At 45.8% G+C, this 24,798-nt stretch overlaps 1 protein-coding gene and 1 long non-coding RNA gene across 3 annotated transcripts in view, besides 3 other annotated features; one reads left to right on the top strand and one right to left on the bottom strand.

Moving 5' to 3' along the window:
• The window catches only part of MYH13 (myosin heavy chain 13), a 72,142-nt gene extending 56,115 nt beyond the window's left edge, over positions 1 to 16,027 (top strand). The window contains exons 28-41 of the mRNA NM_003802.3: positions 867 to 993; positions 1,081 to 1,199; positions 3,538 to 3,734; positions 4,135 to 4,318; positions 4,816 to 4,981; positions 5,665 to 5,789; positions 7,062 to 7,370; positions 7,455 to 7,658; positions 9,828 to 9,953; positions 10,263 to 10,433; positions 13,394 to 13,498; positions 13,601 to 13,696; positions 15,189 to 15,323; positions 15,927 to 16,027. Coding sequence (NP_003793.2) covers positions 867 to 993; positions 1,081 to 1,199; positions 3,538 to 3,734; positions 4,135 to 4,318; positions 4,816 to 4,981; positions 5,665 to 5,789; positions 7,062 to 7,370; positions 7,455 to 7,658; positions 9,828 to 9,953; positions 10,263 to 10,433; positions 13,394 to 13,498; positions 13,601 to 13,696; positions 15,189 to 15,323; positions 15,927 to 15,941 — 2,079 coding nt within the window. The 3' untranslated portion in view covers positions 15,942 to 16,027. The remainder of the gene's footprint in view (positions 1 to 866; positions 994 to 1,080; positions 1,200 to 3,537; positions 3,735 to 4,134; positions 4,319 to 4,815; positions 4,982 to 5,664; positions 5,790 to 7,061; positions 7,371 to 7,454; positions 7,659 to 9,827; positions 9,954 to 10,262; positions 10,434 to 13,393; positions 13,499 to 13,600; positions 13,697 to 15,188; positions 15,324 to 15,926) is intronic.
• Positions 1 to 24,798, bottom strand: part of LOC107985004 (uncharacterized) — a 49,640-nt gene that overhangs the window by 24,567 nt on the left and 275 nt on the right. The gene's annotated exons all lie outside the window — the stretch shown is intronic.
• Positions 6,960 to 7,474: an enhancer, noted in NCBI's record as "H3K4me1 hESC enhancer chr17:10212735-10213249 (GRCh37/hg19 assembly coordinates)". NCBI's record gives its function as "activates a minimal SCP1, AML or CMV promoter by ChIP-STARR-seq in primed H9 embryonic stem cells {active_cell/tissue: H9 hESC(primed)}" and the evidence as "EXISTENCE:reporter gene assay evidence [ECO:0000049][PMID:30033119]".
• Positions 22,946 to 23,240: an enhancer, noted in NCBI's record as "tiled region #3410; HepG2 Activating DNase matched - State 9:DNaseU". NCBI's record gives its function as "activates a minimal TATA promoter and a strong SV40 promoter by Sharpr-MPRA in HepG2 cells {active_cell/tissue: HepG2}" and the evidence as "EXISTENCE:reporter gene assay evidence [ECO:0000049][PMID:27701403]".
• Positions 23,575 to 24,774: an enhancer, noted in NCBI's record as "P300/CBP strongly-dependent group 1 enhancer chr17:10195435-10196634 (GRCh37/hg19 assembly coordinates)". NCBI's record gives its function as "activates an origin of replication core promoter dependent on BRD2, BRD4, P300/CBP, MED14 and CDK7 cofactors, with strong dependence on P300/CBP, by STARR-seq in HCT116 cells {active_cell/tissue: HCT116}" and the evidence as "EXISTENCE:reporter gene assay evidence [ECO:0000049][PMID:35650434]".

Genomic DNA, 24,798 nt, shown 5'->3' with positions numbered 1-24,798 from the left:
TCATACTTACCATTCTAAAGAAAAACATATGCTCTATACATTTTATTTTCTATTTTATGGAGCAGCAGGAGGAGAGAAAGGTCAACACACACAAGGGTTTTGAACAAACTTCACAAAAATACAGGCCAACTGGAAGCCAGAGAGGTGAATCTCTTCATACGGCCTGCACCATGGGGAACCTTCTGTGTTATTGAATGAAATGCTTAACACTGTCATCTGAATATATTGCTTGCAAATATTCACAGGCTTGTATTGCTTGCAATTATTCACGAATCACTTATATTACAAGAGGATCCCAAAGATCCACTTAAAAGTGACATCTTCTCAAAGGGTTGTTTACAAATCATTAAATACTTATCTACCTGATGTTCCAAGTGATTGGTGATTGAGCTGCATTCACAAATCTGAAATAATTATGATTTTTTTTTTTGAGACGGAGTTTCACTCTTGCCGCCAAGGCTAGAGTGCAATGGCATGATCTCGGCTCACTGCAACCTCCGCCTCCCGAGTTCAAGCGATTCTCCTGCCTCAGCCTCCCGAGTAGCTGGGATTACAGGCATGCACCACCACGCCTGGCTAATTTCTGTATTTTTAGTAGAGATAAGGTTTCACCATGTTGGTCAGGCTAGTCTCAAACTCCTGACCTCAGGTGATCCACCCTCCTCGGCCTCCCAAAGTGCTGGGATTATAGGCGTGAGCCACTGCGCCTGGCCGATTATGATTTTTTTGAAACTGAACTTTTTTTTGTTCTGTACTTTTATTTTTATTTTACCTGACAAGAAACTAAATGATTACACTGTTCAGTTCAATGCTGGGCACTAGGAATCCATTTCTTCCCATTCGTGTTGACTTTCTGTTTGTTAAAGAGTAACATAGAAAGAACGTGCCGGACGGTAGAAGATCAATTTAGTGAAATCAAAGCCAAGGACGAGCAACAGACACAGTTGATCCATGATCTGAACATGCAGAAAGCAAGACTGCAGACCCAAAATGGTGAGAATGGGCAGGGCTCTGGGTCCAGCCGGGCCATGGGAGAGGGTGGTCAGTAACACTGACGTGGGGGCCACATCTGTTTGGTAGGGGAGCTGAGCCACCGAGTGGAAGAGAAGGAGTCTCTGATTTCACAGCTGACCAAAAGCAAGCAGGCCCTCACCCAGCAGCTGGAGGAGCTTAAGAGGCAAATGGAAGAAGAAACCAAGGTAAAGATATAGAGTCAGATTGAACCTGAGAAGCCAGGCTATATGACCACTTCACCCGTGAAGCTGGTCAGAGCAGTGCTACATCAAGAAATCTGCTGCAGCTGGGCACGGTGACTCACACCTGTAATCCCAGCACTTTGGGAGGCCAAGGCAGATGGATCACGAGATCAGGAGTTCAAGACCAGCCTGGCCAAGATGGCGAAACCCCGTCTCCACTAAAAATACAAAAAAAAATTAGCTGGGTGTACTGGCAGGTGCCCGTAATCCCAGCTACTCGGGAGGCTGAGGCAGACAATTCCTTGAACCCAGGGGGCGGAGGTGGCAGTGAGCTGAGATCACGCCACTGCACTCCAGCCTGGAAGACAGAGCGAGACTCCATTAAAGAAAGAAAGAAAGAAACCTGTTGCTTCTCCTGTCTGCCTTGCAGCATGGTGGGAACCTGTCCTTTAAGGTTAGAGGACCTTGGCACTGGATCTCCTTCTTCAGGAATAGAAAACCGTACCTATGGTGGTCCATCCCCTGGCCTCCTCTGTCCCCCGCAGGGTGGTCTGAGAAACTCCCCTTTCCAGCCAGGGCACCTCCTCCCCATCACTGCACACACTTGATCATTCTGCCCAGCAATTCATCCTGGCCACCTGAAATCCCCCTCCTCTTTCTTCTTCATTATTCCTGATGTGTCACCTCCTATACCACCTGATTTTAAGCTCCCCTCCTCCAAGAAGGCTCCATGGTTTTGGGAGCACCCTTGAGACAGTCGCATAAACATGAACATCATCACCTTCTTGATTTCAATGTCTAGATATTGTGTTTATAATACATGTCTCCCCACAGATCTATAAACTCATGGAGGGCAAGAATAGTTTGTCCCCACTGTACCTACTGTGCCTAGCAGAACAGTGCACACAGTAGGTACTTGGTGCTGCCAATTCATATTCAAGTATCAGAATAGGGGACTAAGAGTCCAAAAAACTGCATGAATGGAATTCCGAGGTTGCTGTACGCTGGCTAAGACTTATAGGGCAATCTTTTGGAATTTTCCCAAGCTCCACCTTTTTCTTCTGAAAAAGGACAAGCGCCATATTTGTCTCCCATCTTTCTGTTGTATGGTAAAGATCTTTGGTAGATGAGGGGAAAGGGGAAGTGGTGAGAACCCAAGCCTGAACAAGTACTGAGAAGAGCCACTGCAGGAGCGGGCTGTCCTTTGGCAAGAATACAGCAACAGCTGAGTTTTCCTTCTTAGGCAAAGTGTGTCATTTATTGCCTTTTTTTTTTTTTTTGAGATGGAGTTTCACTCTTGTTGCCCAGGCTGGAGTGCAATGGCTCGATCTTGGCTCACCACAACCTCTGCCTCCTGGGTTCAAGTGATTCTCCTGCCTCAGCCTCCCAAGTAGCTGGGATTACGTGCATGTGCCACCATGCCCGGTTTTGTATTTTTAGTAGTGACAGGGTTTCTCCATGTTGATCAGGCTGGTCTCAAACTCCTGGCCTCAGGTGATCCGCCCATCTCGGCCTCCCAAACTGCTAGGATTACAGGCATGAGCCACCACGCTTGGTCTATTGCATTTTTAAAAAGATGAAAATGTACAAATTACTGAAGTGGGCTGACAGAACTCTCTCTTTGATGGTGGCACCAGAGGGCGTCTTGTGGCCATTATAGTCGGAGCTAAACTGTTGCCCTTACATCCCTCCAATGGGAGGGAGTGAGGGATGGAGGCCTCTAGGCATGTCTTCTCTGCCTAGGAGGAGGAAGTCCAGCCGTGGAAACAGCGAAGCTCACATCAGCAATCCCCAGTGTGGGGACATAGCCCAGTGGTGACATCAAAAGATGCTTTCAGGCTTCTCCTGGTCACAGCATTCCATACCATTGCATCAAGTAGTGAGAAAATTATTCCCTTTTTAATTGTTCCAATCCTTCTGATTATATCAAGGAAAAGGCCTCAGTGTGAACCACACTTCCTTAGCATTTGCTTATTTACCCTATTAAGAAATAGAGGGTAGACCCCAGGCATGGAGTCCCAGCAGGCAACAGTACCTAGCTAGACATGATAACATTGCTTTATTTCCATTGCACTTATGGTTACCTTCTGTTTATGGCAAATGTCAATGGTTTTCCACTTACTTTCCTGTGACAGTTTACTCTTTTGTTAAATATATTTAAATATAATTAAGGAGTCCACTTGAAAAAAAATTAAATAAACCAGGTGATATGCTGATATGGCAAAATTGGTGAAGACAGCATAGGGATAATTCAAGTTGGGGGAAAGCGATTTAAATGAAAATACCTGAACTTGGAAAAGGGTCAAATGTTTTTGCAATTTGTCACCGCTGTCATTCCCAGGCCAAGAACGCCATGGCGCACGCCCTGCAGTCCTCCCGCCACGACTGTGACCTGCTGCGGGAACAGTATGAGGAGGAGCAGGAAGCCAAGGCCGAGCTGCAGAGGGCGCTGTCCAAGGCCAACAGTGAGGTTGCCCAGTGGAGGACCAAATACGAGACGGACGCCATTCAGCGCACAGAGGAGCTGGAGGAGGCCAAGTAGGGGCTCCAGGGTGGCAATAGCAGAGGGGGCCCGAGGACACAAGCCAAGGGACCAGGAGTCTTCATATCTTGAGAGATTCTTTCCTGCCCACGCCTTTGTGGTTTCTGAAACACTCGGATTGTACCCCCCACCCTCTGGGGGTCTCCCTGTCCTTCTTCTCGGGAACTGTCCATTCCACCTAGCTCCCTGGAGGTGCTCCTTAGGGACCTGCTTTGCCACCAAGCATTTTGAGAATCTCTCGGTGACACTTGGATCCTCCCCACTCACCAAATCCTAGGTCTTGGTCTCATCAAACACCAGTCCCTTCCACGCTATTCATTTCTCTTCCCATCTGACAGTTACCTACTGAAATATTCCACCTTTGCGAAGGGGAAAAAAAAAATCTGGTTTTCGTAGGAAAAAACTGGCCCAGAGGCTCCAGGAAGCAGAGGAGAACACGGAGACGGCGAACTCCAAGTGCGCATCGTTGGAGAAAACCAAGCAGAGGCTGCAGGGAGAGGTGGAGGATCTGATGCGGGATCTGGAGCGCTCCCACACCGCCTGTGCCACACTGGACAAGAAGCAGAGGAACTTCGACAAGGTCCTTCCCCAGCCGCTTTCTTTGTGAAGATGGCATGAGGATAATTCAAGTTGGGGAAATGCTATTTACATGAAAATACCTGAATTTGGAAAAGGGACAAATGTTTTGCAGTGGCAGTGGTGAAAACAACAGTTTCACGCTTAGATGTGTGAGATACCTGCACATCCTAGAAGGCCCCCAGTTGGAGCATCATTTCCCAGTTTCAGGGACTTGAGGTGTCTTCTTGACTACTGTGACAGTCCCTCCAAAGGCAATTTTATTTTTAGTGAAAGCTAATTCCGTTCCACTGAGATTATAATGTCTGTGAGAATGCAGCAGAGGGTCTGCAGGGATATCACAGTTTGGGGTCCCTGATCTAGAACAGTGCTCCTCCTCCTTCTTCAGTCCCTAAGGATGGAAGGGCAAAACGTTGGTGTTACTGACAGCCCTTGTTTGCATGAACTCTTCTGAGTCACCCCTGCTTTCTGCTTCTCCCATGTCCCTTTGTCATCTCCCAGGTCCTTGCAGAGTGGAAGCAAAAGCTGGACGAAAGCCAGGCTGAGTTGGAAGCTGCTCAGAAGGAGTCCAGGTCACTCAGCACTGAACTCTTCAAGATGAGGAATGCCTATGAGGAGGTGGTGGACCAGTTAGAGACACTGAGGCGAGAGAACAAAAATCTGCAAGGTGAGCTGTCTCCACCACTGGTGTGTGCTATGTCCCCCTCTCCTCCTGCCAACCCCTTCCCCATTTGGCCACAGCCATCTCCAGACACCTCCTTCCCACTGCCCCACACGATCCTCACCCATCATGCCTCACATTGACTCAGTTTGCCCCAAGGCCCAGACCTTTTTAATGTAAGGCACGGCAGCAGCTAAGTCTCATTTTTGAGAACTGAAGGAACAGTGGGTTGCTGAGCCCACTGCTCCGTTAGAGAAGACCCTTCAGTGATTCTGTCTCTAGGTGGCTTTGTATTCTTGCACATGCCACTGAATCCCTTAGGACCTCAGATTTCTGATCTACAAAATCAGAAGACCACACCCAACACTTTCCAAAGCCCCTTCTGGTTCTGCAGACTATGATTCTATGCGTTTTCCCCACAGTTGTTTTCTCTGGTCTTCTCTATGACCGTTTTGTATATGGTACTTTTGAAGTTTTAAGTTTCTATTCTTTACTTGTGGTTCCTGTCTGCCTAGTGCAGGTGAGGCAACACATCCCTGTCTTGCCAACACCTCATCTGAACGGCTGCCCTGTATTCTCTCCTGTATAAATGTCATGAATGAATCGCCCATCCCTGAATTGCCTGGCAAATGCCTATACTATAAACTGGAGCCTGTTGAAACAGCCTAAATCAAGCCTGTCCTTTGCAGAAGAGATTTCCGACTTAACTGAGCAGATTGCAGAAACTGGCAAGAATCTTCAGGAAGCGGAAAAGACCAAGAAGCTAGTGGAGCAGGAAAAGTCAGATCTGCAGGTCGCCTTAGAAGAAGTGGAGGTAAGTGTCTAGGATATGACATTCAGAAATTCAGGAGGACAGGGAACTGAAAGAGGCTGCCCTTCACCACCCCATGGGGCCTTTCCTGCCAGGAGACCCTGAGTCTCCATTGGGAGTAACATTCAGCCATCCCAGGGGCTGAAACATCCACGGGCTGCTACTTTATCTCCTAGGCGTTCTCTGGCACAGTTCCCCTTTGAAAATAAATAAATGTGTTCATTATGTTCTTCAATGTCTTCCTCTCAGGAAGCAGAAAATCAATCACCTAACATCCTGAGAGCAGCGCAGAATCTCTCAGTTATGTTTAACATAGAGGCACAGACAATCATTTTTGGCTATCAAGAATCCTGTATAATCCAAACACACCCAGCATCTCCCGATGCAGTAATCGGTGGTGGTCAGGATGGCTGGTGGTTTCTAGGGAAATACGAACCGACACAGGATAACAGGAGAGCAGTTGCCCTGTCATTTTAGAGAATAGGTTGACTCCTGATTTATGGTCACTATTATAATAGATACCCTCAATAAAATTTTCACTAATTAAGAAAGATACTCTATCTCAAGTCATAAAATAATTTGTTCATGAGCGATGCAAAGTTTTAGTCCCAGTTTCATCACTATTAGGGATATTTGGGAGCAAGCCAAATACTCAGACCTCTCTGAATATTGTTCTCTTCATCTATAAAATGGGTATAAGAATACCTATTTGCAGCCGGGCATGGTGGCTCACAACTGTAATCCTAGTACTTTGGGAGGCCGAGGCAGGCAGATCACCTGGAAGGTCAGGAGTTCGAGACCAGCCTAGGCAACATGGTGAAACCCTGTCTTTACCAAAAATACGAAAATTAGCCAGGCACAGTGGTGGGCACCTGTAATCCCAACTACTCGGGAGGCTGAGGCAGGAGAATCGCTTGAACCCAGGGGGTGGAGGTTGCATTGAGCCGAGATTGTGCCACTGCACTCCAGCCTGGGCAACAGAATGAGACTCTGTCCAAAAAAAAAAAAAAACACAAAACCTATTTGGGCTCTGGGCACCATGGCTCACACCTGTAATCCCAACACTTTAGGAGGCCAAGGAGAGAGGATCACTGGAGCCCAGGAGTTCAGGACCAGCCTGGGCAACACAGACCCTGTCTCTACCAAAAAAAAAAAAAAATTTAAATTTAATTTTTTTAAAAAAACGCATACCCATTTGATCGTATGGGGATGAAAATACCCATTCATGAAGGTGGATGTCCACGGCACTCTCAATCACTCCTTTGCTTTCGTCAGGGTTCCTTGGAACACGAGGAGAGCAAGATCTTGCGCGTGCAGCTAGAGCTGAGCCAGGTGAAATCCGAGCTAGACCGCAAGGTCATTGAGAAGGATGAAGAAATCGAGCAGCTAAAAAGAAACAGCCAGCGGGCAGCAGAGGCCCTGCAGAGCGTGCTGGATGCTGAAATCCGCAGCCGGAACGACGCCCTGAGGCTAAAGAAGAAGATGGAGGGAGACCTTAATGAGATGGAGATTCAGCTGGGCCACTCCAACCGCCAGATGGCAGAGACCCAGAAGCATCTGCGCACGGTCCAGGGCCAGCTCAAGGTGAGCACGGTGGCCGCCTCTGCGTACCTGGACGGGCCCCAGCCTGCCAGGCGGCTCTGGCCTCACTCTGGGTCTCCCCTGCAGGACTCCCAGCTGCATCTCGATGACGCCCTGAGGAGCAATGAGGACCTCAAGGAGCAGCTGGCCATCGTGGAGCGCAGGAATGGCCTCCTGCTGGAGGAGCTGGAGGAAATGAAGGTGGCCCTGGAACAGACGGAGCGGACCCGCAGGCTGTCAGAGCAGGAGCTGCTGGACGCCAGCGACCGCGTGCAGCTCCTGCACTCCCAGGTGCGTCGGCCCTCACTCCTCCGCTGAAGGTCCACCCTGGGGCAGATAGCGCCTCCTGCACCGTGCAGCTGCTTCCGCTATCCCTCCACTCAGGGCCCACGCCGTGGGAAGGAGCACCCGGTTTCTCCCAGACTAGTGGTCAAGACAAATTTTCTTTTAAGCTTGCTTCTTGGAATAACTGACTCTTGATTGACAGATTTCTGAGCTTTCTCTCATCCAAACATTAAACATCTTGCACGTTGTGGGGAAATCAGAGCAACGAAGGATTAATTATTACGTAAGGCACCTGGAAGTACTATTTAAGTGGAAACCTTAGAATATTAAGATTTTATTTCAAAATAATTATTTTTGACCCGGCTCAGCGCCACACCTATAATCCCAGCACTTTGGGAGGCCAAGGTGGGAGGTTTGCTTTAGCCCAGGAGTTGAAGCTGCAATGAACTATGATCATGCCACTGCACTCCAGCCTGGGCAACAGAGGGAGACCCTGCCAAAAAAATAAACAAACAAACAACAACAACAAAAACACAAAATAATTATTTTTATAAAAGTTTTTAAAACTCCTTTGTTTAAAAAAATAGAAAAAACAAGTAAATACATGGAAGAAAAAAGTCAAGCATATTATTAACATTCTGGGGTCTCTCATTCTTAGGCCCATTGTGAATTATATAAATATTATATTTTTGCCTCTAATCCCAGGAATTTGGGATTGTTTGATCTCAGGAGTCTGAGACCAGCGTGGGCAATATGGCAAAACCTTGTCTCTACAAAAAAAAAAAAAAAAAAAAAAGTTTTAATTAAAAATAAATACATATATATATAGTCAAAGTATGAGCAATCTTTTGCAACCTCTTTTTTGAATTTAACAATCATGAACATATTTTGACATCTTTTTTTTTTTTTTTTGAGACAGAGCAGAGTCTCTTTCTGTCGCCAGGCTGGAGTGCAGTGGTGCGATCTCAGTTCACTGCAATCTCTGCCTCCTAGGTTCAAGCGATTCTCCTGCCTCAGCCTCCTGAGTAGCTGGGATTACAGGTGCTTGTCACCACACCCAGCTAATTTTTGTATTTTTGTAGAGACGGGGTTTCACCATGTTGGCCAGGATTGTCTCGATCTCCTGACTTCAGGTGATCCGCCCGCCTCAGCCTCCCAAAGCTCTGGGATTACAGGCATGAGCCACTGTGCCCAGCTTCGACATCTTTAAATAGTCTTCTATATGATTTTTAATGACAGAAAAGTAGGCTATTCTACTTGTATATTATGGCCCTTTCATTTAATCAGTCTTCTGTGGTTATTTTAGATTGTTCTCAATAAAAATTTTACTTTTAGAAAGACTATTTTGATGAACTTCCTCATAACTAAATTTTCATATACTTCTATGATTACTATAATCTTAATATTTCTAGAAGTAAATAAATTTCTAAAAATGAAATTTCAAGGTCCAAACAGCAAAAGTATTTGTAATATAAATTGTTCTTTAACAAGGTTGTCCCAATTTTTATTTCCACTGGGGAAACGTGTGAGAGTTCTCTTCTATAAATTCTCAAATACTCTAGCTCTTATTTTAAAAATCTTCACCAATTTTATTGCTGAAACATACCTCACTGAGTTTTTAGTATTTTTTTTATTGCTAATGAGGTGGAACATTTTATCACATTTGTTGGCCATTTGAATTTCTTCTAGTATTTTACCCATTTGTAGTTTTTGCCCTTTTTTTAATTGATTTGCCTTATTTGTATGTTAAGAAAGGGAATATTTTCTTCTGTAATGTACATTGCAAATGTTTTCCAGTTTGTCGTCACCCCTTACAATTCTATTTATGGCATATTTTGATTATTTAAATTATTTTTCATTTCATATAGTATGTCTATCATCATTTCCTTGTTCCAAGACTTTTTACTGAATAATCTATCCATCCTCAAATATTTGAAATTCTACTTTTATCATTTACTGAATTCTTTCATGTACAATTCTTGGGTCTGTTTCAGGACTTTCTGTTCAGTTAAGAATAAAGAAAGAATGTACAGTACTGTACCCAGCAGGTCACCCATGTGAAAAATAAGAAATGGAACAGGATCACAATTTACTTCCCTCCCCAGCCAACCCTCTCCCAATTTTTTTAAGCGCCCCAATAGAACCCACACCCCTGATATCTAATTCTTCTTGTAGAACACAAGCCTGATAAATACCAAGAAAAAACTGGAGGCTGACATAGCTCAGTGCCAGGCAGAGGTGGAGAACTCGATCCAGGAGTCCAGGAACGCAGAGGAGAAGGCCAAGAAGGCCATCACGGATGTGAGCTCTGTTCTTCCTTTTCAGAGATGGGGTTTGGAACTGAGAAAGTGGGGCCTCTGAGCCAGGGTGTGGCAAGTATGTTTCATCTCTTATGACAACAATCGGTTAGTGGTGGCTTCCCAGACAGATGTAATGAGGTACAGTCTCAGCAGTGGCAAAGTGGGAGGGGAGGCTGTGGGGAATCAGCAATGACTGGCCCCAGTCAGACAGGGGAGGCTCAGCACCATGATCCCAGCCTTCGCCTCTTCTGCAAGCTCTGGGTAGGGATGGGCGGACAGGGCCTCTGATGTGTCCTGTGAACTTAACCAGGCTGCCATGATGGCTGAGGAGCTAAAGAAGGAACAGGACACCAGCGCCCACCTGGAGCGGATGAAGAAGAACCTGGAGCAGACGGTGAAGGACCTGCAGCACCGTCTAGATGAGGCTGAACAACTGGCGCTGAAGGGCGGGAAGAAGCAGATCCAGAAACTGGAGAACCGGGTAGAGTTTTTGAGAGGACTGTTACTCTGAAAGTGACAGCCTCGGACAGAACCACAGTCCAGAAACTGAGATGGTGGGAAAAGGCCACTGAATGAATAGATTGCAAATTCAGTTTCAGGACTGCTTGAAAAATTCCCTGTGAGCTTCATTTCTCACCTCTTTCTGTTTCACCTGTTCCTATGCCCCAAAACACACACACACACACACACACACACACACACACACACACACACACACATCTATTTTGGTATGCTCACACCTCAGTAAATGTAATATAATGATGTATGTTAATGTTCACATTCCATTTGCTATGCAGATTCAGATGCACGCACATACATGGAAAAAACTATTAACATATACTCTACAGTCATAAAATTACTCATTTTGATGCATTTACATTTTGGACCAAGCTTCACTTTGATCAACACAGCCCATCCTACATAAAATCTGCAGTTTCCGTTTTCTCCCAATCTCAGGTTTCCTTCCCTCCCCAGCTTTTCTCATCTGTCAGTGCAGGCTGCAATTCTGGCACAGGTATGTCTCTTGCTCCAGCCCCAAAAGAGGGCGATCGGGGCTTCTTCCTTTAGCTTGATGCACCAGCAAAGTTCAACCCCCCGACACCTGGACATCCCTGCTCTTTCTTTATCTGGGAGCGTATCCTGCAGTTATTATTCAGTTTCTTTGCTGACTGTTCCCTTTGTTTCCTGTCTCCCTTGCTTTTCCTTTTAGACCCATGTGGTTTATTTCAATCATTTTAAAATGGGCTCCACTAGTGGTTGACATTTTGGAGGAGGGCTCTGCGGAGGAGGCTGTTCGAATGTCTCTTGTCCCAGGGAGACAGGAAATGAAAGAGAGGGAGGAAAGGAGGATGAGGAGGAGGAAAAGAGAAGGAGACAACTTTTCCCAGCAGGAAAGCCTCCAAATACTGTCATTCTTTATGCAAACCACCCGAGGATATCCTCCCCAGGCACATGGTCCCATTAAATGTGAAAGGATTTTTTTTAGGGAGGTGCTAAAAACAACAAGGCCATAGACTTTTTGAATAACAAAAGTAAACACCAGGGAAGTTAGAACTTCCCCCAAAATTCTTTAATGTTTATTTTCAATTATCCCCAGTCCTATTCCACTACAATGAGTTTAGGCCTGTTCTTCTCATGGATCCCTCCTATGGGAAAAGGATTAGATCTCATGACACCTTCTGCCATACTTTGATTCCTGGGTTGGCGGGGAGCCCTCGGCCACCCTCCCCCTCCCATGGTGAGGCACCTTGACTGTCCTCCCATCCCCTGCCCGGTTATGTGACTTCCATAAACCTTACAGAAGCCTAGAAAGAATTCCCAGGAAAACAAATGTTTTGTAGAACCTGATGGAAGACATTTCCTGGGTCCAGGAGGTGGAGGGTGGGGAGGTTTTGGGAACAGCACCCAGAGTAAGCCTGTCCGATTAGTAGTTTTCAAGGCTGATCTAGTGAGTCTCCAAGCCCAGAGTTGGCCCTGCTCTGCAGCCACTGGGATTCCCAGTGGAGTGGAGCATGCAGCTGGCTGCTGCCCCTCCCTGGCTTCAATCTCTGGATTGTGGAGTTGGGACCACAGTTGGTGACTTATGTCCTCAGTGGCTGCCCTTTCCCCTCAAGACTTCAAGAAAGGCAGAAGCAACTATGAAATTAACAACACCTGTGTAGTGCTTTGTCATTCTAACAATACTTTCACATACTTTCATTTGATCTCCACATTTGAGGTAGGCTGGGCAGGAAATATTATCTCCATCCTAAATATACAGAAACTCATGCTCAGTGGTGGCGACTGACTTGCTTTGGGTCTATCAAGTGGGCCTGGAGAGTGCTTTGACTACTCCTGGCCCAGGTTCTCTTCGTGATCCCTGCTGCCTTACTTGATCTGTAAGTTCAAGTTACTTGATCTGCTGTAAGTTCAATGAACAGTTGGGCAGGTTTCACCTGCAAGGACAAGTCAGGTTAGCTTTTGCTGCCCTTGCCAAACGACCTGGCTCCACAAAAGGGAGCATCTAAGCAAATCCTGACCCACCAGCTATGCTCTGTGCACCTGAGGCTGCCTCTGCCCAGTAAGGGCATCTTATTCTCACTTGCTCAAAGCACCTGCATTGTCAATAAAATGTGGCTCCTAAGACCTAGGAGGAGACATCTTGGCAAAATCCCATTAGGGGATCGTTTTTTGTTCTAACTTTAAGTTCTGGGGTACATGTGCAGAACGTGCAGGTTTATTACATAGGTATAAACGTGCTATGTTGGTTTGCTGCACCCATCAACCCATCATTTACATTAGGTATTACTCCTAATGCTATCCCTCCCCTAGCCCCCTGCCCCCTGACAGGTCCCAGTGTATGATCTTCCCTTTACTGTGACCATGTGTTCTCATTGTTCAACTCCCACTTATGAGTGAGAATATGTGGTGTTTGGTTTTCTGTTCCTTAGTTTGCTGAGAATGATGGTTTCCAGCTTCATCCATGTCCCTGAAAAGGACATGAACTCATCCTTTTTTATGGCTGCATAGTATTCCATGATGTATATGTGCCATATTTTCTTTATCCAGTCTATCATTTATGGGCATTTGGGTTGGTTCCAAGGCTTTGCTATTGTGAACGGTGCCTCAGTAAACATATATGTGCATGTGTCTTCATAGAATGATTTATAATCCTTTGGGAATATACCCAATATTGGGATTACTGGGTCAAATGGTATTTCTAGTTCTACATCCTTGAGGAATTGCCACACTGTCTTCCACAATGGTTGAACTAATTTACACTCCCACCAACAGTGTAAAAGTGTTCCTATTTCTCCACATCCTCTCCAGCATCTGTTGTTTCCTGACTTTTTAATGACCATTAGGGGATCTTGAGTTCACTCTAGAATGATTGGCCCATGAGTCCATGAGAGAAGCCTGGGAGAGGAGATTTGAATTCTGTGTTCCTTTCATCCTACTCAGGTGCGGGAGCTGGAAAATGAGCTTGATGTGGAACAGAAGAGGGGAGCTGAAGCCCTGAAGGGAGCCCACAAGTACGAACGCAAAGTCAAGGAGATGACTTACCAGGTAGGGGTCCCAAAAACCTCCTCAGTGAATGCTGTATGGACCAAGCCCCATCAGAAGTGACCATAGGTTTGCGGGCCCCTGCCACGTGTACTCTGTTTGCAGGCTGAGGAGGACCACAAGAATATCCTTAGGCTCCAGGACCTGGTGGACAAGCTGCAGGCCAAAGTGAAGTCTTACAAGAGGCAGGCTGAGGAGGCGGTAAGCACAGGAGGTCCCCGGCAGTGCCCACAGACAGACAGTCCCTGGGGCATCCTGGGTGTCCCCGCCATCCTGGTTGGTAAAGTCCCCTGAGCCTCAGGCCTGAGTTTGTATTTGCAGGCTATAAACACAGAGACAACTGCCCTCTTCCTCTCCTGGTCCATGTTAAGCCTTCACGACCTTCACCATCTCTGTGCCCTCTTGCCTCACCCTACTTGGCCAGCCCCCTCCATCCCCTTCATCCTGCCCACCGTGACTCACTTGACACCCCCTAGAGCATGTTAGCCTACTCTGCTGGCGTTGGATCACCCTGACTCTCCCGAACCACCCCAGTCTACCCTCAAAGCCATTCCTGCTCCCATGACCTGACCTGAGATACCTCATCCTAATTCCCACCATCCCACCACAGCCCACCCTCCTAGGCATCTCCAGCCTTCCTCAGCCCTCCCTAACTCCCTCCACTCCATCCCATCCTTTTTCATCCACCCTTTGATCAAATAGGTGAAATCAATAGGAAAGAAATGGAATGGGCTAAAATCAGTGTTTCCCAAAGTGTCTTCTGAGGACACTGGTTCTGAGGGATGTTAATAGCAGGAAGGTGGGGCTGCCATGGGGAGGAGCTTATCCTTTTATAGAAAAGAGATCGTTTGGGAAAATCTGAGTTAAACAAAGTTACCCTGGTTGCTTTACTTCAAGGATATCTCAGATTTTGTAGATGTTGTAGAGTTTGATATGTCATCAACTCTACAAAGTGGAAGAAGGGTTCCAGAATATACCATTTCTCACTCTTCATTGACTTTAGAACCTTCTTATTGTATGCAGAGCATCCCTCAGGGCTACTGTTCTGAGGACCAAAATTTAGGGGAGTCTGCCCTGGACAAATGACTGAGCTTCTCCCATTGCTCTTTTTCCTCCCTTCCCTGGAGCCTGGTTGGTTCAATCCTGACCTCAGGGAAGCAGATTTGAACTGGTTCAATATTGAGAGCAATTCACGCACATGGGATGAGTACAGTCCCAGCAGGATCGGCAGGCTAGAGGGTGCCCAGGAGGACATTTTAGTCAGGAATCCTTGACATTCCCCCAAATAGACCAGTACAGTGGCCTGGCCTTAGACAGATGGTGCTGGGCAGAGGCACAGGACGAGGGAGACTTGGGCCATTGGTCTCTATACCTTCAGGTGCCTTGGGAGAGCTCTGGACTTAGGTCTCCCCCGAAGATCTCTATGGAGCAGATACCATATAGAAGAGATTCAAGGGAACATGTGGAGGTCCTAGAAGGGACAGTAGCACCTGCAAGGTGATCCGAGGCAGTACACATGGTCGTGAGCTGGGAGCCTTGTCCTCACACGCTGGAGAAAGCTTCCCTGCCCTCTCTGCCATCAGGGAATCCAGGGCCCTGGTTGCTTAACTCCTCAGAGGCCTTCAGAGACAGGGCACCTCATAATCGGACTGAGAGGCTCTACAGCGTCATACCCCCTCTGTCTCCTGTGCAGGAGGAGCAGGCCAACACGCAGCTGTCCAGATGCCGGAGAGTCCAGCATGAGCTAGAGGAGGCCGCGGAGAGGGCGGACATCGCTGAGTCCCAGGTCAACAAGCTGAGGGCCAAGAGCCGAGACGTGGGCAGCCAGGTAAGAGCAGGTACCTGAGATATAGGGGCCAGCTAAGAACAGATATTGAATATGGGGGCCAGGTAAGAGCGAATGCCTGAGTGTGGGAGGCCAGATAAGGGCAGGTACCTGAGATGTGGGGACCAGGTAAGAGCAGGTACCTGAGATGTAGGGGGCCAGGGAAGAGCAAGTACCTGAGTATGGCTTCTTCCCAAGAAATCCCAAGCCCCGGGGGAGTCCCATGGACCACCCAGGGAGAGCTTGGAAGATGACTGTTGATCCTCTCCTTCCTGCTGCTGGTTGCACACTCCCAAATGCTACTGTTTGAGCAAAGACTCCTGTGGTTCCAGGCTCTTGAAAGAATGAGCAGTGAGGCACGACACTGTCATCCCTGTCTGTCCCTGTTGCTACAGATGCTGCCCATGAAGCCCCTGTTTTGCAGGGCGTTTGTCCTGTCGCCAGTAGCTAGATTGATTTGCTTTTACAATGTTCAAAGGGAAACAACGCCATTCCTTAATATTCCTCTGAAGTTCCAGATTTTCCAGCTGCTTCACTTCAAGATGATGTTCAGTCTCCCATTTAGTTGACTCATTTCCTATGTACAATTATTTTTTTCTCCCACAGAAGATGGAAGAATGAGGCTCACCTGATGCTCGTTGCCATGGGACACCTCCGAGAGAGTGGAGGGAAAATGTGTGAGAAATAAATTCTCCTAAATACTCGGATTCCCGGCTCTGCTGTGTTTATTATCATGGTCCATTCCTCTTCTATGAAGCTGATATTTAGATTCTTGCTGCTCTATCGTAAATATAAAATAAGGAATGTGAAAGTGGAGGATCTTTGCTCCAAGTAGAAAACATGGAAATCCAACCCATGGCCAGGTAAATCACTAGCTTCCACAAACATTTAAAAATAAAGACCCTATATCACTCTACATCTCTCAGAATAGCTATTATCAGAAAGACAAAAGTGTTGGTGAGGACGTGGAGAAAAGGGAACTCTTGTGCACTGCTGGTGGGAATGCAAATTGGTACAACCTAATAGCAGTTTTTCAAAAACTTAAAAATGGAACTACCATATGATCCAGCCATCCCACTACTGGGCATATATCCAAAGGAAATTGAATCAGGATCTTTTTTTTTTTTTTTTTTTTTTTTTTTTTTTTTTTTTTTTTTTTTTTTTTTGAGACGGAGTCTCGCTCTGTCGCCCAGGTCGGACTGCGGACTGCAGTGGCGCAATCTCGGCTCACTGCAAGCTCCGCTTCCCGGGTTCACGCCATTCTCCTGCCTCAGCCTCCCGAGGAGCTGGGACTACAGGCGCCCGCCACCGCGCCCGGCTAATTTTTTGTATTTTTAGTAGAGACGGGGTTTCACCTTGTTAGCCAGGATGGTCTCGATCTCCTGACCTCATGATCCACCCGCCTCGGCCTCCCAAAGTGCTGGGATTACAGGCGTGAGCCACCGCGCCTGGCCTGAATCAGGATCTTGAAGAGATATCTACACTTCCATGTTTATTGCATCACTCTTCACAATAGCCACAATGTGGAAACAAACTAAATGTCCATCAATGGATAAATGGATAAAGAAAATGTGTATATACATATATATGTATATATATATACACGTATATATCTCGTATATATGTATATATATACACGTATATATCCATATATACGTATATATATGTATATATCTCGTATATATGTATATATCACCACAATGTGCATATATATGCAAATGTACATATATATGCAAATTTGAATATATATATTCATATACTATTGGGAATACTATTGGGCCATAAAAAAGAAGGAAATCCTGCAATTTGTGACAACATAGGTGAACTTGGGGGACATTATGCTAAGTGAAATAAGCCAGATGCAGAAAGACAAACACTGCATGACCTCACTTCTATGTGGAATCTAAGATAGTCAAACTCATAGAGGCAAAGAGTAGAATAATGGTTGCCAGAGGCTGGGAGTAGGAGGAAGTGGGAAGATGTTTATCAAAGGGTACACATTTTCAGTTATACAAGATGAATACATTCTGGAGATCTACAGCACCAGGCCTATCTATAGTTAATAATGTATGCATGTATTAAAACATCAATTTGTGTACCTTAAATATATACAATTCCTTTTGTCAATTATACTTCAATAAAGCTGAAAACATCCAAAAGGAAGGAAGAAGAGAAGGAAGGAAAGAAAATAAAGATTCTTTCAGATAACTGTAGTACATTTTCCTCCTAGGAACTCATAATTCTTGCAATTTACTTCCTCATTTTCTCTCTGAATTTACAGATAGGGACACTGGGGCCCAGATGGATTAAGCACTGTGACTATAGTTGTCTAGGGCAGAGTGGAAATTACACCCTGGAGATCCTAGACTTGCAGGCTGCCAAGCAACTCTGCTTTTCCATCCCATCCCTTTTAAAGGCTTTGTCGTACAATTCTCTCATGCCCACCCACAGTTCCCCTTAACATCTGAGAAGGTAGTAGGTACTGTCAAACTCATTCACTCCTAGGAAGACAGATGCTTTAGAAAAGGTTGGATAGGGGCTCAGGTACCACCTTGCTCCTCCTTCCAGCTAGGGTAACTCCTCCCCACCTGCATGGAGCCTCCTCAGGGTGTTCAGGGCCAAAAGGAAAAGGGAGCAGCTGGGTCCAAAGAGATGTTAACTTTCCAAGTCCAGGACGAGACTGGACCCAGGCACCATTCTCCCTCCCCAATGGGAAAGAAAACTACTGCTAGTTTCACATCTCTCTCTCGGATCTTAAGGATCTCATCCATTCTGATTATGTTGATTTGCTTACCCTGAAGGGGCACAGTAAAATGGAATAAGGACACTTATGGGTGGATTAGGAGCCAAGTCTAAATGTGAGCCTCATCCTGACCACTTAATAGCTGTAGCTGTGTGGCCTTGGGTTGATCACATATATTCTCTGAACCTGAGTTTCCTCATTGGTCAAACTGACCTGTGTGGACAGAAGCACAGGCTTTAGGTTCTGGCAAACCTAGATGGAATCCCAGTGCTGTCACATACCAACTGTGTGGTCATGGGCAAGTTATTCTCATTGCTTAGTCTCAATTTCCTTATTCTGTAAGGTGTAGATAACAATAAAAATCATAGCTTTGCCAGGAGGGATGAGGCGGTTGGGGTGACAGCAAGAGGCACAGGGTTTCTTTTGGGAAAACGGATGTTCTAAAATTGATTGTGGTGGTGGCAGCATAACTGTGAATATATTAAAAGCCATTCAATTTTAGACTTTAAACAGATAAATTGTATGGTGTATGATTACATCTTAATAAAACTGTTTTAAAAATTCATAGCTTCTATTACCTGATAGTGAGTACTGGCTTACTATGTACCAGGCACTGAGATAAGTACACTATTCTTTAACATCTTAGATTATTCCTTCTCTCTGGCCTTCTAGATTCTCCTTTTCATCTCATCACCAGCCCACCCCAAATGCCTTTGACACAGTGGGGTTGGAAATTGAGGAGGATTGGCAGCAGCGGTGGCAGCAGAAAATGATTCTGAGGTCACCTTCCTCTAACTTCACCACTACCATTATTATGACTGTCATCATCACCATCATCATCATCATCATCACCGTCATCATTATCACCATCATCACCTTCATCACTATTAAAATCACCACCATCACTATCACCACTATCACCATCATCATCATCACCATCACCATCTTCTCAAGATCACCATCATCACCATCATCATCATCACCGCCACCTTCTCAAGATCACCATCATCACCATCATCATCACCACCACCACCTTCTCAAGATCACCATCACCATCATCATCATCACCACCACCATCACCATCATCATCACCACCACCTTCTCAAGATCACCACCATCACCATCATCACCACCACCACCACCTTCTCAAGATCACCATCACCATCATCACCACCACCATCACCATCATCACCACCACCACCACCTTCTCAAGATCACCATCACCATCATCATCATCACCACCACTATCACCATCATCACCATCACCATCATCATTGCTGAAAGTGTCCACTGAAATGATCTTTTCAATTGCCTCAATCTTCACAGTCAAAAAAATCCAAAGTCAGGAGGGAGAATAATATTATTTCGAACACACAGAACAACATTGTATGATGCTAAGTTGTCACAGGCCCATTTTTCTCTTTTCCATTCCATCCTCCCAACAAGCCTATTAGAAGACCAAGCAAGTGTAATACCCTCATTTTCTGGAGATGATGCAGACAAGTTATGACTTGCCCAGTGTTTGAGGAGGAGATAAGATTGCAGCTCTTCAGTCTCACTTTGGTGGCTTTTCCCTCTGCAAGGACAGGTGGTCAGGATCCTGAGTCCTAACCTGTCAGGGTCTCAATTCTGCTACCACTCACTAGCTTTGAGACCCTGGGCAAGTTACTTCATGACTTTAAGGCTCTGTTTCCCCAGATGTGAAATAGAGTGTAACAGTTTACTTTACAGGGTTGTTTTGAGAAGCAAATAAGAATACGCAAGAAGCACAGGTGGTATAGAGTGGGTCACACCGTACGCACTCTGATAACCTGTTATCGTGATGCGGAGGGTTGAGACCTGGCCCCAGGAGGTAGGTGGAGTACAAGACAGGGATTCAGTTGGACAACAGTCTGGGGTTTTGGCTGTGTCTCTAAGGGGTTTTCTCTGGTTTGAGAAGTTAACATATGGAGTTGGGGGTCATTTTTTAAATCCTGTGGATTCACTTCTCCCTGACACGCCAACAAAACCAAATCTGAATTCCATCTCCTCAAGAACTCCCAGTTCAGTGGGGGCTCTCTAGGATTAAGATACCCCCAAGAAGCTATGCACTTACCTGGCTCCCATATCCCAGCTCCTGACCCCCAGATCTCTGAGTCAGAAGAGAAAGAACCTTCCTATATCCTTCACAGTACATAACAGAGTCTTACACTTCATCAGAACTCTGATTATTGAAGGAATGAATTAATGAATGAATAAGAGAGACACCAGGTACACCCTGATGGTAAGTAACTAAAGATACATATCTTTTTTCTTTTCTGGGGACTAGAAGAAAGAGAAGAGAGTGAAGCTGAGGTTTGTGTGCTGAGTTTTCTTTCCCAGCTTGTATATGTCAAATTTCATCTGGCAGCCGGAAACCAGTCTTAAGCCCTCAGGCTGAGCTGGGTACCTCTGGACCCTCCTACTCTCTTGCAAAATGGAAAAGGAGGTAGAGGGGACCTTGCCTTGGGTCTTCCACACCATAAGATAGGGAGTGCACAGAACAAGAACAAAAGCAAGAAAGCTTGGGTTCCTATCCTGGCACATCAATACTTTCCAGAGGGCCTCGGGCAAGTCAAGAAATGTCCCTGAGCCTCAACATGGGGCTAAAAGTCCTGGCATTACCTACCTACAGGATGCAGTTGTTAAAAGGTTCCTATGCGATGCACAAAAATGTTTCCTCAACTATGCAGCATTGCCCAAATTGAAGATGGCATTGTTGCTTCTGTTTTACTAACAATAATGAAAATAATAATGCTGTTGTTGTTGTTGTTGTTATTCAGGAGTAAAACCGAGCCTCCAAACCTGAACTTTCAGCTCTAGGGAGTTGGAGAGCAGTACCTACCCTGGCCTAACGCCCCCTTCAAAACAGAGCTTTGCTGCCACCTCCTGGCTGTGGAAAGGCATGCTTTTCATTACACAAATGACCTAGAGATGATGAAACTCATAAAATCTTGGATTCGCTCTTCAGAGTCAGAGGTGTCACTGGGAATCATGTTCATCTGGAACAGCCCACTGATTTTGCAAATGACAAAAATCCAGACTAGTGACATGATCTGGTAACCCCTCAAGATATAGCATCAGAATCAGATATCCCAGGTCTTTTGGCTCCCAGACCAGGGCTTCCTCAACTGAGTATCCACAGAAAAGGACCTTGCAGAATCTTGAGATAGGGGGCTAAGACTCACTGGACAGACAAAGAGTGGTCCCTAGTGATGGCCTTGGCAGTAAAGAGTACGACATGGCCAAGGGTCTCTCCCCAAACCTCATGCTCCTCATGCCAGGCTGGAAGAGAAGTGTTGGTCCCAGGGGAGAAGCAGTATATCTACACAAATAGCCTCCTGCCCTTCGCAGGAACAGGTGACCAGACCCTAAATGTTTCTGGGATGAAGGTGGCCCATAGCAATTCCAAAAGCAAGGTTCCCTGGCCCTTTTTCTAGCCCAACACAAAGGACAGGATGTGCACTCCATGGCAGGATACTCAAGGTGCCATTTGACCCGTGAGACCCTTTCCACCTTTCTCCAACGTGCTCAATGCCCCAAGAGGTTGACATCAATGGGATCCCTTGCCCTGGCCTTTGGGTGGGCCTAGCCAATGGGGAGCTGGGCTAGAAGAGCAGAGGGAAGGAGGAGATTGAGAGCAGTATTTATTCCGCATGTCTCTCCCTGTAGTCCAAAATCCCATTCCATGTCAGGTATCCCAGTCCCCCAACCCTTCTGTCTCCAGGTTCTGGTAACCGAGTCCCTCTTACCCCCAGCTTGTACCTCCTTGCAGGCCTAGGGAAGATAATGGAGCCCTGTTAATAGACCTGGAATTCTACTGTATCTCTGTGGTTTTTCTATACCTGCCCACACCTTTGTAGAGAGTCTGTTCCTCAAACACTCCTCATATTATGCTAATTTGGATGTTGACATGGTTTGGATTTGTGTCCCCGCCCAAATCTCATGTCAAATTGTAATCCCCAATGTTGGAGGAGGGACCTGATGGGAGGTGATTGGATTATGGGGGTGGATTTTCCCCCCTTGCTGTTCTTGTGATAGTGAGTTCTCATGAGATCTGGTTGTTTAAAAATGGGTAGCACCTCCCACTTCTCTCTTTTCCTCCTGCTTCAGCCATGTAAGACATTGCCTGCTTCCCCTTGCCTTCTGCCATGATTGTAAGTTTCCTGAGGCTTCCCCAGAACCTGTACAGCCTGCAGAAACATGAACCAACTAAACCTCTTTATAAATTACCTTGTCTCAGGTAGCTCTTTGTAACAGTGGGGGAACAGACTAATACAGATGTGCTATCTGTTTTCTGCAGGTTCAAATTGCCTGATACAGGACTCCTGCCCTACACATCTATTTTACTGCTTTATGGCCCCTTCTACAGAGCAGGACCAGCTGACCATGCAAAGTAAGAGTGCTATCTCACAGCTATTTGTGAATATCTTCAGGTCATAAATTCCATTCAGTAGACAGTAATGTATTCAGTTTCACTGCACACTTCAACTTGGTACTGACCTTTACCAAAATCAAGCTTTCAAGATTACTTTCAGGTCTGTTTTTTAATTCAAGCCAGAGCTTACACTCCTAACTCTTGAAGAAGCAATCATTTCTACCAGGGCACTAGATGAGATCAGTGGTGGCCTAGAACTAGCTCATTCCAGCTCGGAAGAGCCAATTATAAAATTTTCAGGAATTTTGTGAGCCAGTTGTTAAACAGAGATGCTATCAAAATTAAATTATGTAACTTACAATTAAATAAATTATATTAATAAGAAAGGTACTAAATAGTCAAAACTTACAACTTCTTAATTATTTACTACAATGTATCTATAATCTCTTGCAGTTACCTACAACTATTAAATCTGTGTGGTGAAAATACTATCTAATCATGTGCTCTTTGTACCTCTTTCCATCTCTGCATTCAGTGTTGTTATGTTGTTAGCTTGGGATTAGCCATGGCTGGAATATTTGCACCACAGAAATTGGCAAACACTACAGAACAGGTTTTTTTCCTTTCTTTGTTAAACATTTACCAGCACATTACTGAGTGGACCCAGTGAAATCCTAGTAAAAACACAACTGCAGCTCTGTATATAAAAAACTTGGAGGCCGGGCGCAGTGGCTCACACCTGTAATCCCAGCACTTTGGGAGGCCGAGGCAGGTGGATCACCTGAGGTCAGGAGTTCGAGACCAGCCTGGCCAACATGGTGAAACCACATCTCTACTAAAAATACAAAAGTTAGCCGGGTGTGGAGGCACACGCCTGTAGTCCCAGCTACTCAGGAGCCTAAGGCAGGAGAATCACTTGAACCTGGGAGGCGGAGATTGCAGTGAGTAGAGATTGCGCCATTGCACTCCAGCCTGGATGACAGAGTAAGACTCTGTTTCTAAATAAATAAATAAATAAAATTTTAAAAGATATTGGAATATGTAGGGCCACCCACTCTTCCTAACCACCACAAGTCCAACTAGGTAAGCTTATACAAGGTAGCAAATTGAGAAATCTTCTCAGGACTAGGGATTTACATACTGCACAGTGCAGGGAAGGGAGGGAAGGCAGAAAGACAAGCACAAACTCTGCTGACCAAGTCTCAACTTCACTGCTATACTCTATGATAAGAATTCCTTCAGCTGTAACAGAAAGTCAGCTACAAGTCTTTCCGGGGGAAAAAAAAGGAAAATGTATTGGTTCACCTAAATGAAAATTCCAAGGGTAGTCAATTTTCAGGCTGACTGGATCCATGGATTCATGGTGAGATCTGGGTTTTAAAATGATTTCTTAATTCTTTCTCTCTTTCCTTCTCTCAGTTCTGCTTTCCTCTAAATTAACTTTATTCCCAAGAAGGTGACCCCTTTAGGATGACAAAATGGCCAGGCCTCTAACCTATATCTTAAAATCTTAGGAGCCTAAAGATAGTTCCAGCAAAACCCTAGGGCTGATTCTCATTGGCTCTAATTGCCTAGCATGGTCATGTGCACCTGGTCAGAAGTTGGTAGGAGGATGTGGTACTTTCATGAATCATATCTGATTCATGAGCCCACCTCTGAAGCTTTGGGTGGAACCAGCCCCACCCAGACTGCATGAACTGAGAGTCAACAGGGGTGTTTCTTATCCCTCCCACTACTAGGTCAAGTTCCTATTCCCAGAAGAAACAGTGTGGAAAGAGACAAGGAATTCCATGATGAGGGCTCACTAGACTGCACTGAGTCTATTTCTCACTTTTAAATTTCAGCTGGTCATGCCTTCCCATTGGATTACTGTGTAGACAAAACCACACGATGGCTGCAAACGCCCTCCACCCCCGCCCAAAATAAGCTATCTAAGAATGCCAGTAGGCACTTCCCCCTTTTCTGTACTTATCCTCACTTGTCTTTTTCCCACGAAAGAGACAGCGCTGCTAAGATTCTAAGATGCAGGCCATATCTCTTTCTTCCCTTGCTGTTGAACCAGCTGGCACTCAGACCCAGCAGACACCTCTCGTCCTTCAACTCCTGCTAAGAGTCCAACTTCTCTTAATGAATATCATTCCCCACCCCCACCCCCATGACCCAAATTCCATGAGAGGCCTCTCACTGCTGACAGGAGGAGAAGGAGACCATTGCTCAGAGCCACTGCCCCCAGCCAGGAGTTTCTCGTCCCATGACTCAGGAAGCAGAGATCCGAGTGGCGCCAGACAAAACATCTGGACTTTAAAAATCTGGACATGGCTGGGATCCGGACCCAGGGC

This window comes from Homo sapiens, chromosome 17 (genome assembly GCF_000001405.40).
Source record: "Homo sapiens chromosome 17, GRCh38.p14 Primary Assembly".
NCBI classification, from domain to species: Eukaryota; Metazoa; Chordata; class Mammalia; order Primates; family Hominidae; genus Homo; species Homo sapiens.
This window is presented reverse-complemented; position numbering and strand designations above follow the sequence as displayed.